Source organism: Homo sapiens, chromosome 5 (genome assembly GCF_000001405.40).
Source record: "Homo sapiens chromosome 5, GRCh38.p14 Primary Assembly".
NCBI lineage: Eukaryota > Metazoa > Chordata > Mammalia > Primates > Hominidae > Homo > Homo sapiens.
The window spans coordinates 134,441,719-134,453,803 of NC_000005.10; the positions used below are offsets into that span (position 1 = coordinate 134,441,719).

A 12,085-nucleotide genomic window follows, 5' to 3' on the forward strand; every position below is an offset into this window, starting at 1 on the left:
GAAAGGGGTGGAAGGAACCGACTCAAGAAATGTTGGGCCAGAATTTCACCTGAAAAACAAGACAAAGAGAACCCTTAGGTTTTCAGTCAGGACCACCATGTGGTTAGAGTGTCACCATCATAGGAGAAAGAAACCATAACTAGCGGGTGGGCTGGGAGATGACGAGCTCAGTTTAAGACTTGGTGAGTGTGAAAGAGCTATAGGCATCTAGGAGGAAGCATCTGGCAGGCAGGTGGATACACAGGTCTGAAATGGAGGGAGGGTTTGGCCTGCAAGGCTGGAGAGAGGAGGCTGGAGTGAATGTGCCATGAACAAGTTTACATGAATGTGACTGGGGAGCAGGGAAGAGGGGGAAAGTGCAGGAACGTAATGCCTCTTGACCCTAAAATTCTCACTTGCTGAGAGTAAGGGTGAGGGGAGGGGCTGGGGGCAGGAAGGGGGAGTTTAGAACATTTATTATGGGAAACAGGAGAGAAGCTGACCCAGGCACAGCTATGACATCTAAGAGGAGTCAGGAGACTAGTTCTTGCCAAAGGAATGTTGATTGAGGATGACATGTCACTTCCAGCCCAAGAGAGTTAAGAAGAAGACGTGACTTCTCCACTCTTCCTTTCCCCTTCTCCCAGTTCGATGCCCCTTTGTTACAGACTGAATGTTTGTGTCCCCCCAAAAATTCCTATGTTGAAACGGAATCCCCAGTGTGATGATTTGGAGGTGGAGCCTTTGGGAGGTGATTAGGTCTTAAGGGTGGCGCCCTTAGGATGGGATTAGTGCCTGTATAATAAGAGGCCAGCGGCCAGGCATGGTGGCTCAAGCCTGTAATCCCAGCACTTTGAGAGGCTGAGGTGGCTGGGTCACTTGAGGTCAGGAGTTTAAGATCAGCCTGGCTAACACGGTGAAACCCCATCTCTACTAAAAATACAAAAATTACCCGGGTGTGGTGGCGCATGCCTGCAGTCCCAGCTACTCAGGAGGCTGAGGCAGGAGGATTGCTTGAACCCAGGAGTCAGAGGTTGCAGTGAGCGGAGATTGCACTACTGCACTCCAGCCTGGGCAAGTGAGTGAGACCCTGTCTCAAAAAAAAAAAAAAGGAGGAAAGAAAAAGAAAGAAAGAAAGAAAGAAAGAAAGAAAGAAAGAAAGAAAGAGAAAGAAAGAAAGAAAGAAAGAGGGAGCCAGAGAACTACCTTGTTCTTTTTCTTTTTTTTTTTTTTTTGGAAGCAGAGTCTCACTCTGTTGCCAGGCTGGAGTGCAGTGATGCAATCTCAGCTCACTGCAACCTCCGCCTCCTGGGTTCAAGCGATTCTCCTGCCTCAGCCTCTCGAGTACCTGGGACTACAGGTGCACACCACCACGCCCAGCTAATTTTTGTATTTTTAGTAGAGATGGGGTTTCACCATGTTGGCCAGGATGGTCTTCGTCTCTTGACCTTGTGATTTGCCCGCTTCGGCCTCTCAAAGTGCTGGGATTACAAGTGTGAGCCACCACGCCTGGCTGACAGCTTGTTCTTTTTCTACCATGTGAGAATGCAAGGAGAAGTCAGCAGTCTGCAGCCCAGAAGAGGGCCCTCACCACAGCTTGAGTGTCTTGGTATCCTGATCTCAGACTTCTAGCACCCAGAACTATGAAAAATACATTTCTATTGTTCATGAGCCACCCAGTCGATGATACTTTGTTATAGCAGCCTGAATTGACTAAGACAGCCTTGGAAACCACATGTTGGAGATGGTGAAGCCACAGTGTGGGAAGATCCTGGATTCTTGAATCATCACTTGGAGGACAAACACCACTGATCAGGAACACACATTTAGTTTTCTGTTAGCAAGAAATCAACTACATTGTAGGAGCCAATATACATTTTGGGATTGCTTGTTACAGCATTGAGCATTACCCTAGCTAATGCAGGGTTTAAGAAAATGCATGGTTGTTCAGATGGTTCAGAGGGGTCTGGGCTGGGGAAACACTCGAGGCCTCTAGGGTCAGAAGGTCTTTGTTAAGGCTGAAGAGCAGAAGTGGTGAGAGGACTGGAAAAATCTAGAAAGCAGATGTCAGGGCCTCTGGCAGAATGCAAGAAACTAAGATTTCAGACAGAAGCTATCCCACTGTGGCAAGAGCCAAATGCGAGAAGTTGGGGAACATTAAGCAGGTCTGGGAATTGTGATGAGTGAGGTCAAGAATTGTGTTGGCTGGTTAGTTCACAGGGATGTCAGAGTCTGTGATGAAGCAGAATGTGAGGTGGAGAGGAAGCCTCAGAGGGGCTGGCCATTGTTCTGCAATCAGGGACCTGGGAAGGACTGCTGTAGTGAAAGGCATGGGCTAGCAGGATTGCCATCACTCAGTCTGTCAGCTGCCATGACTGAGTGGATCTGAGCAGGGCGGTGTACGGATCGCTCAGGAGACCACCTGAGATGCTTACCTGAAGGCTGGTTCCTGAAGTGTCACCTGCAAATGCTGATGTAGGCCAACACTATCCAGAAACAGCCAGACCCACAGCAGAGCACTGCTGTCAGCTGGTAAAGTGTCATGGCACTGCCCAAAGCATCTTATTCACAAATCTGTCTGGGCCTCATGGACATCCCAGGGAGACCCATAAGAGAGTGGCCTCTCCCTGTACCAGGTAAGGTCACCTAAGTGATAAGAGAGACTGCACAGGAGAGGGTGGAGTCAGGGTCTCCTGATCCTTGGGCTGTGGTTCTCATTATAAAATGCCTTTTGCAGACATTTCTGACATAAACTGCCCATCATCTTAGGAAGATTTGGGCATCAACTTGCCATTGGCAGCAGGGACAACTGAGACAGCCTCCAAAAGGCACTTCCAGCTGGCGACTCTTAGAAGAATTTCTGAATGAATGGTGCCAAACCAGGAATAGGAATAGGAGTGTCAGAAAACCCAAAATAATAGTTATGAAAACAAGAGGAGTTTATTTCAAAAAAAAAAAAAAAAAAAAACCAGATGAGGTTGGAGGTAGGTGTCAAGGGTTGCTAGGCCCTCCACTGTTTCAGAAGGCCAAAGTTCCTTCTGTTTTATTGTTCTCCTCTATTGTTGAGTAACAAATTACTTCAAAATGCAGTGGCTTAAAACAACTGTAAACATCTATTATCTCGCACTTTCCGTGGTCAGGATTTGAGACTTAGCTGGGTGGTTCTGGCTCAAGCTGTCTCATGAGGTTGCAGTTGGGATGTCAGATGAAGCTGTGGTCATCTGAAGGGGTGACTGGACCACCACATTGCTGGCAAGTTAACCCTGGCTATTTGCAGCAAGCCTCGGTCTCTCACTGCCCCTAATCCTTCATTGGGTTGCTTGAGTGGGCTTCTGCTAGCCTAGAACGAGTGATACAGTGAGGGCAAGGCATACACTGCAATGTCTTTTATGATGTCATCTCAGAAGTCACTTACTATCATTTCTGCAATACCCTGTTGGTTACATGGATCAGCCCTATTGCATACAGGAGAGAACTGAATAAGGACATGAATCACTGGGGGCCATCTCAGAAGCTAGCTACCACATCTGCCATCCTCAAAGCATGTGGCTTCATCCTCATGTCCCAAGATGGCTGCTCGAACTCCGGCAATCACATCACAGACAGTGCATTGCAGCTAGTGGGAAGAAGGAGGAAAGGAAGCAGCGTGTGATTTCCTGAAGTTGGATGTACCATTCTATTTTAGTCTCACTGGTCAGAACTTAGTCATATATTGATAACTGCAAAGGGGGCTAGGAAATTTAGTATTTATTTTGGGTGGCCATGTGTTCAGCTAGACCAGATATTGGGGATAACTGGCCATCTCTGCCACATCAGCAGTGTTCCCGTGTGTATCACACAGGATGAGGTCTGAGGGAGGAAGCACAGAGAACATTACTACCTTGGGTTACTGACCTGGCAAATGACTTACAACCCATTTTGTCTGGGAAATACATGTGTGTGTGCGTGTGCGTGTGTGTGTGTGATGGGGATGGGGAGGAGTGCAAACTGTGCTTCACCCCGTAATTAGTGAATCTCACTTTAAAAAGAAAATAGTCCTTAGAGAAGCTTAGGAGACAAATAAGTGTAAACAACAGACCCAGTCCTAGAAGCCCAGCCAAGGGTGCTCTTAAAAATTAAGAAGCTCCAGAAGATGAAAGATCATCACAGGAGGCATAGTGAGGGCAGCCTCATTCTATCCCTAGACCTGCAGGTTTAAGTAAATTCCAGGCAGCCTGATTTACTGATCCAAATGCAGAAACACAGATGGGCGCCTCCACCAGCTGTGTTTTTAAAAGATCATATGATTCCTGATCAATGAACCAAAGAGACTGAATGCAGAAGTATTTAGCGCTGAGCTGAGGATTTGCCCAGAGACCTCTCAGAGAGCAGAGCCAAATCTTGAGCAGCCAGCTGAGTGCTGACTCAAGCTGGGGATGGGGGTAAGGAGGGTGGTATTGGGCGGCAGAGGCCTAGCTGAGTAGAAGATGAGCCATCAGTCAGCCAGAGAACTCTAAGGTGAGAAAAGTCCACAGGAAGAAAATCTGCCCTGGCAGAAGGAAGACAAGGCTCTGGCTTGGTCAACTGGCCAGTGACGGGGTACTGTGATCCTAGAGGAATGCGAAGTCTGGAGCAAGAAGCCTGGGGCTAGGGCATCCGAAAGGACAGCAGGTACTGCCAAGTTCCTTCTGGCAGGAGTTTGCTTTCTCCTTTCTGCCACATTCTGCCTGGACAGTGGAACCTTATCTTGGGCTGTGTGTGGACTAAGGACTCAGTGGTACTTGCGGCATGGAGGGTGGCTGGGGACCTCCCACCTGCCTGGCTGGTCCTACTCTCTGCCCATGGTTGGGGGTGTTGGCCCAAGTTGGATGAAGTCCTGTGTCCTGCATCCCTACTTGGCCATCTCCAGATGGGGCTGTCAGGACACCCTGGGCAGCTAGCGTGTTCACTCACTCAGGCCACAAGCCATGCTCCTTATTGCACATGGTCATCAGTCATCACTGCATTCTTGCTGTACAAGAGTCAATTTCCAGTGCAGTAAGGGGATCACCAGAATTCCCAGCCTTCCCATTGTGCCTTGGCCTGAATCTCAAGTTTACCAACAAGGCCTTGGAGGACCTCTGCAGACCCTAGTTTGAAGGCCCTTTCATGAGAGACACCTCCAGGCATGGTTGAGGTCAGGCCCCACCTTGGGCAGAGAAGGATGCAGGGAGTAGTGAGGAGGGAAAAATCAGCCCAAAGGGCATGGAATTGGCTCAGGCAGCCTGAGACTGTTTCGTGGCTCTGTTGCAGCAGTGTGTATTGAGCTCAATGGGGAAGACACTGGGCTATACCCTGGGGACACAGAGGGGAGGGCTCCTATGACATCACCCCGGACACATAAATAAAGCAAAGCAGCAGAGGGTGCAATATGCAGTGATGGGTTAAGGACAAGGTCCAGAAAGAATGTGGGAGGGGAGTTTGCTGGCAGAGTAGTAAAGGAAAGCTTCACAGAGGAGGTGACACCTGCAAGAAAGAACAGGAGGAGGAGGGGCAAATCAGGGAGAGGGAAGGGCAGGCTCAGAGTCCTGAGCTGGGCAACCACCTGGGGTAGAAATAAGGGAATCTCACCTGATGTGTTGACTGTGCTCTGAAATTTCTGGGCTCCTTCAGGGTGGAGTGTAGCCTTGATCTCTCTCCGCTAACTCAGAAGAGTCAGGGGAGTGGAGAAGATGCTCCCTCTGCAAGATTTGTTGCATTTCCTTTTATATTTGGGTCTTTGGTACCTGACCATGATGGTGAAGTTATCATAAATTAAGAAAGAAGAGGGGCCAGGTGAGGTGGCTCATGCCTGTAATCGCAGCCCTTTGGTAGGCTGAGCTAGGAGGATTGCTTGAGGCCAGGAGTTCAAAATCAGTGTGGGCAACATAACGAGACCCTGTCTCTACAAAAAATGAAAAAGAAAAAAGAAATAGCTGGTGTACACCTATAGTCCTAACTACTCAGGAGGTTGAGGCTGGAGAATCACTCAAGCCCAGGAATTCAAGGTTGCAGTTAGCCATGACTGCACCACTGCACTCCAGCCTGGGTGAAAGAGCAAGACCGTGTCTCCAAAAAAAAAGAGAGTGAAATTTCTTTGGTCTAGGAGAATCTGCCCAAGCCCCTCATTCCTTTTCCATGTAGGTTTCCAAGTGATTCTGGATGGACCGTTAGGCCTGATTGTCCCCAGAAGCCTCGGATGGGGCAGGAGGCAGGGCTGGGAGGCACACTGGGTGGGGCACTCTGCAACTCTCTCCACTGTTAGATACAGTCCCCTGAGGTCTCAGAGCTTCTCCAGAACCCAGGGGAACCCCCAGCGCCACCAAAGCACCCACCTTGCCTCTTGCAACAGGCCTTATAGCATGAGAAGAGTGATGTGGCTCATGCTGGCACATCATGTATGACCCCAGTCACAGTTTTTGTGGTGTGCAAACTTGCCTTTCCTCCAGGCCCCAGGAAAATGTGAAATGCAAATAAATCACCACGCAAATCTAAAACAAACATCAGCTCCAGAGCTGTTTTATGAAGGCAGAAGGAATCGCAGGCCCTGAGTGGTCCAGCAGGCCCCACTCTCTCTGGGTCATGGTGGGCAGGTGGGCCCAAGCCAGAGCCATGCTGGGATGGCACCCTGTCTCCAGCTACAGGTGGCCCAGGAACCTCAGGCATGGAGCTGCCAGTGCCCAGAAAGGCTACAGGAGAATTTACGGCGCAGATGGAGAATGGGGCCTGCCCTTAGTATCTAGTCCCTGGACAGCCCATCTCTTTCACCCAGGAATCTCTGTCTCCTGGTTGTTGCTCTTCTCACTGGGATGTGCAAATAACCTCCTGGCAGCCTTGGTCTCTCTCTTACCTCTGTCAGTTCCAGTCCGAAGGCCTAGCTCAGGTCACATCCCTCTGACTCAGATACACTTTAATTACAAACTCCTCAGTCTGTCATTTAAGGCTTCACCCACTACGGTACCAATTCACCACTCACCAGTCCTTCAGATCATCATCCCCCAGCCATGTATGTGCCCATCCTTTTTATAGTCTCCCTGCAAAGCTCTCCCATCTTCAGGTCCTGGATCTTGCCTTTACCTGGTCCCAAAGCCCCCTTATGGGGGCATTTGCTGTGATGCTTGGCCCACCTGATCAGGCCCCGCTTTAACACTGTCTCACCTATCAAGTCTTCCTTGACATTCTCTGCCCCCTGAACCTATGGCCTAAGGGATGGAGCTTTTTACTAGATTTGCATCTTTAATTATAGGAGTGATACATGCTTGTAAAAACATTCCCACATTACAGAAGCATACACAGTAAAATGAGTGTGTGTCATCCCAACTCTCCATTCCCTAGAACTCACTCCAGTTAACAGCTAAACCTACACACAGACCCTTGTTTTACCAGCATGGGAGGGGCCCTTGGGGACCTTCCGTAACTACTTAAGCTAGCAGTAGCAGAGTAGCGGTGAGGGGTGAGCAGACTTGGTGAAGGTTTTGGAGAGCGGTGACCTGGGTTGACTCAGAAAGAAAATCCTCAAGGTTGGTCTGTGGGACCCCTTAATTTCTTTTACAAGTCAGTTCAAAGAACAGAGCCCCAGGGAGACATTCCTAGTTGTGTGGGAATAGTCATTCTGTTCTCCCAAGAGCCAGAAACTCAAGTTCAAAAGGCAACCAGGTCTCTAAAGAATTCCCTTGGCCTAGCACAACCTGTCACTGCAAGCCCAGGTGGAGCTGAAGTCTGGCAGTCTTAATGGGGTGGTCACTCAGTCAGATGGAGAGAGTCAGAGCTAGAACCTAGGCCTTTTCTTCTCCAGCCTGGGCCCTTGCCTGTGCCCTGCGGGCCCCTGCCTGTGCCCTGTGGGCCCCTATGTTCTGGCTGGTCATCCTGGAGTACCCCTACCACCAAACAACAGAGACCCCTGTGTGCCCTGCTGGCAAAGCAGTGATTCTCTTTACAGTGTGGCCCAGAGAAGAGTCCACCTTCAGAAATAAATGACCCTGCCCTCCTTAGAATAGGATCTAAGTGAAGAACAGGGCTGTGCAGGCATCTCCTTCATGAGGGACTCCAGCCCATGTTACTAGGGAGTGTGAGGGGCAGGGGACACATGCCTTCCCCAGATAACCTGAGGGACTACATCCCTCCTCCACACTCCAAGTCAAATATTTATTGAGGCAAGAGAAGAGACTGGAGTGCTCCAAGTTGGGAAGACCTAACCCCAACTTGGAGATGTGATGGAAGGCTCTCCCAAGATGTCAGTATCTAAACTTACACTTGAAAGATAAGCAAAAGCCGGGTGCAGTGGCTCACGCCTGTAATCCCAGCACTTTGGGAGGCCGAGGCAGGAGGATCACCTGAGGTCAGGAGTTTGAGACCAACCTGGCCAACATGGTGAAACCCCGTCTCCACTAAAAATATAAAAATTAGCTGGGCGTGGTGGCGCATGCCTGTTATCCCAGCTACTGGGGAGGCTGAGGCAGGAGAATCGCTTGAACCCAGGAAGCAGAGGTTGCGGTGAGCTGAGATCGCGCCATTGCACTCCAGCCTGGGCAACAGAGTGAGACTCCATCTAAAAATAAAATAAAATAAAATAAAGATAAGTAAGAAGTGGCCAGGTAAAGCATTCCTTGCAGAGGGAACACCATCGGCAAAGGTCTGAAGGTGAGAGGAAACATTACTTTGGAGAAACTGAAACTTCACTGTGGCCGAACCTAGTGTGTAAGGGGGATGTAGTGGGCAGTGGTTGGAGAAGTCAACTGCCTGCATGTGCAAACCCTTCTCTGTCAGCCCAGAAGGCCAGGGCTTTGTCCCCATGGCCAAGCAGAGTCAAGGAAGGGTTAAGCAGGGGGGTGACATTTTAGACAGACTGAGATTGCCACATAGACCACGAGCTGGAGGTGATAAGTTTAGAGGAAGTGAATGTCTTTGGGTGAGCAGTATGGTGGCCTGGACTAGGGTAGACATAGTGGAATATAGAGAAGAAGTGGAATTCAACACAGCATGGGGGGAGGTGAGGGAGAGGAAGGCAACCCTGGCTTTGTTGTTGGGGATATAAATCCCAGGCCCACAGTTGAATTTAGCAAACAGTTGCTAACTGGTTTGGGCTCACAGAGTGGGGAGCTGGGGGTCCCCACGTTGTTTCACAGGTGAAAAATTGAAGGCCAGTAGCAAGTGAGAAGCCCTGACCTGCCATCTAACCTGCTGACATCAGTAAAAACCTGACTTGGCACCCAAATCTTGATTTGGCCAGGAGGCTGCTTGATACCTTAATCCTGGCACAATGGCCCAGGTACATAGCTGACCACCTCCAGACAACCCAGTGATCACCTGACTCACAGCCCCATATCCACAGTCAATCAGCAACCTGCAGAAACCTTGCTTTTTGAATACAGAACAGAAATAGCTCACGACCAACCCCATATCTTCCCCCTGTATCCCCAACCTCTGAGCCTAGACTCTGGATAGAATAGTTTCCCTGTTTGGCAGTAAAACTTTTTTTACTCAGCACTCAATCTTTGGCCTCTGGTCTTTTTTTAGTTTCTTTTTGGTTAAATAGTGATGGAGTCTTGCTATGTTGCCCAGGCTGGTCTCGAATTCCTGGGCTCAGGTGACCCTGTTTTAACATGCCAGAGGCTCCCACCAGCCACAGGGCCCTGAAGGGGCTTCAACAAAGTCAGACACACCCTCTATGTTATTTGCTCAATTCAGATATTCTGCACTCTCTGGTTTGCACTTTAGCCCCTCCTGAGTCACCTGCTGCACCAAGGAGTGCACACAGCAATGCTGTGGATGGTCCAGGAGGGCCTGGGGTGCTGTCTAAGGCCATGAAGTTTAGCCAAGTTTGGTGGTGCATGCCTGTAGTCACAGCTACACTGAAGGCTGAGGTGGGAGGTTGGCTTGAACCCAGGAGTTGAAGGCTGCAGTGAGCTATGATTGTGCCACTGTACTCCCCACCTGGGTGACAGAGTGAGACCCTGTCTCAAAAAACAAACAAACAAACCAAAAAAAAACCCAACAACTTGGATAAAGACTCTTGCTTGGCACAAGGACCTTACTTTCTGACACTGATCACATAGATGTGAACTTTGGCATGAAATTCAGGCAGTGTCGGAAACCCCAGGCCCCACTATCAGAGCTGGAATTAGACAACGCTCTCCAGGGGAGAATGAGTTTCCAGAAGCCTTGGCTGTGCCCCCTTCAGTCAGGGAAATAAAGACCCTTCTATTTCCCTGTGGCCAGCCAGGGAGGATGGGTGAGTATCACAGTGAAGAACCAGGAATTTTGCCCCTTGAGGGGCCCAGAGAGCTCTGCTCATCTATCTGTCTCCAGTGATAGGCATAGTGAAGGATTTTTCTGAGGCAGAGCCAGAAGTCTGGCTTAGGGCCCAGTGAGTCATCTTCCAAGAGTCTAGGCTGCACAAGAAGGCTGCCTATGGCCACCTTTGCTTTTGCTGCTGCAGGCAGAGCTCACCTACTGAGGCCTAGTTCTGCTGGTAAGATGCATTGAGACCAGGAGATCCTCTCTATAGTCTTCACCAAATGACTCTGCCCAGTCACCCCTCCCTGGGGGCTCAGAACTGCCCATTCCTATTTCCTTTAGTCTTGAGAAACATGCTCCTCCTGCAAAGGACAGCTGGCTGACTAGAGGGACAATCTGTCTAGGGACTAGGGTGAGACAGAGTGCCCAGCCACATCAAAAATAGTGCCAATGTTCCTAAGAGCCACATACGGAGCTATTGTCCTAACAAATCAACAAGGGGCATGAAAAAGCTGAAAAATCTGAATGAGAGAAAGGAGAAACCTTTTTAGTGGCTTAAGGATACAATGTCAATTATACAGATGGGTAAACTCCTGCCCCTGGGGACCCCCTCTTCTGGGGGAAGACTGGGAAGAGGCAAAGCTTTCAGCCTTCTAAAGAAGGGTAGCTCAGCCAGGCACAGTGTCTCACGCCTGTAATCCCAGCACTTTGGGAGGCCAAGGCAGGCAGATCATGAGGTCAGGAGTTCCAGACCAGCCTGACCAACATGGTACAACCCCATCTCTACTAAAAATACAAAAATTAGCCGGACATGGTGGTGGGAGCCTGTTGTCCCAGCTACTTGGGAGGCTGAGGCAGGAGAATCGCTTGACCTTGGGAGGTGGAGGTTGCAGTGAGCCGAGATCGTGCTATTGCACTCCAGCCTGGGCAACAGAGAAAGACTCCATCTCAAAAAAAAAAAAAAAAAAAAGAGTAGCCCCTTGCCCACACCCTTGGATGTGCCAAGTCAGTGCCTTTCCCTTCTGCTCAGACCACCATTCGTTATCATTGCACCACTGGTCCCTGGTCACCCTGGAACACCTTTGCCAGTACAGGCCCTCCTTAAAGTCACATGGGGCAATACTATCACTATTGAATCACTATCAAAATCCCAACAACATATTTTTTCAGAAATAGAAAAATCCATCCTAAATTCATATCATATCTCAAGAGACCTCAAGTAGTCAAAACAAGCTTGAAAAAGAACAAAGCTGGATGGAGATCCCACATTTCCTGATTTCAAAACTTGCTGTAAAGTTACAATAATCAAAACAATTGCCACTGGCATAAAGACAGAAATGTAGACCAACAGAATGGAATAGAGAACTCAGAAATAAACCCTTACATACATGACCAAATGATTTCCAACAGGATGTCAAGATCATTTAATGGGGTAGGAAAGGACAATCTTTTCAACAAACAGTGTCGGTTAAACGAGTCACCCATATGCAAAATTATGCAATTGAACCCTACCTTATACTACCTACAAAAATTAGCTCAAAATGGATCAAAGAACTAAACATAAGAGTAGTTCAAACTATAAAGCCCTTAGAAGAAAACATAAGAGAAAAGCCTCATGACTTTGGATTTGGCAATGATTTTTTAGGTATGATACAAAAAGCACAGGCAGCAAAAGAAAAATAAATAAATTTGGCTTCATCAAAACGAAAAACTTTTGTGCATCAAAGGACACTACAAGCAGAGTAAAAAGGCAACCATGGAATGGGAGAAAATATTTGCACATCTTTTTTTTTTGAGACAGAGTCGCTCTGTCACACAGGCTGGAGTGCAGTAGTGTGATCTCACTGCAACCTCCGCCTTCTGGGTTCAAGCA

General features: G+C 48.8%; 1 annotated feature.

Moving 5' to 3' along the window:
• Positions 9,967–10,152: a silencer, noted in NCBI's record as "fragment chr5:133787376-133787561 (GRCh37/hg19 assembly coordinates)". NCBI's record gives its function as "represses an EF-1alpha promoter that drives an FKBP-Casp9 reporter gene in an ReSE screen in K562 erythroleukemia cells {active_cell/tissue: K562}" and the evidence as "EXISTENCE:reporter gene assay evidence [ECO:0000049][PMID:32094911]".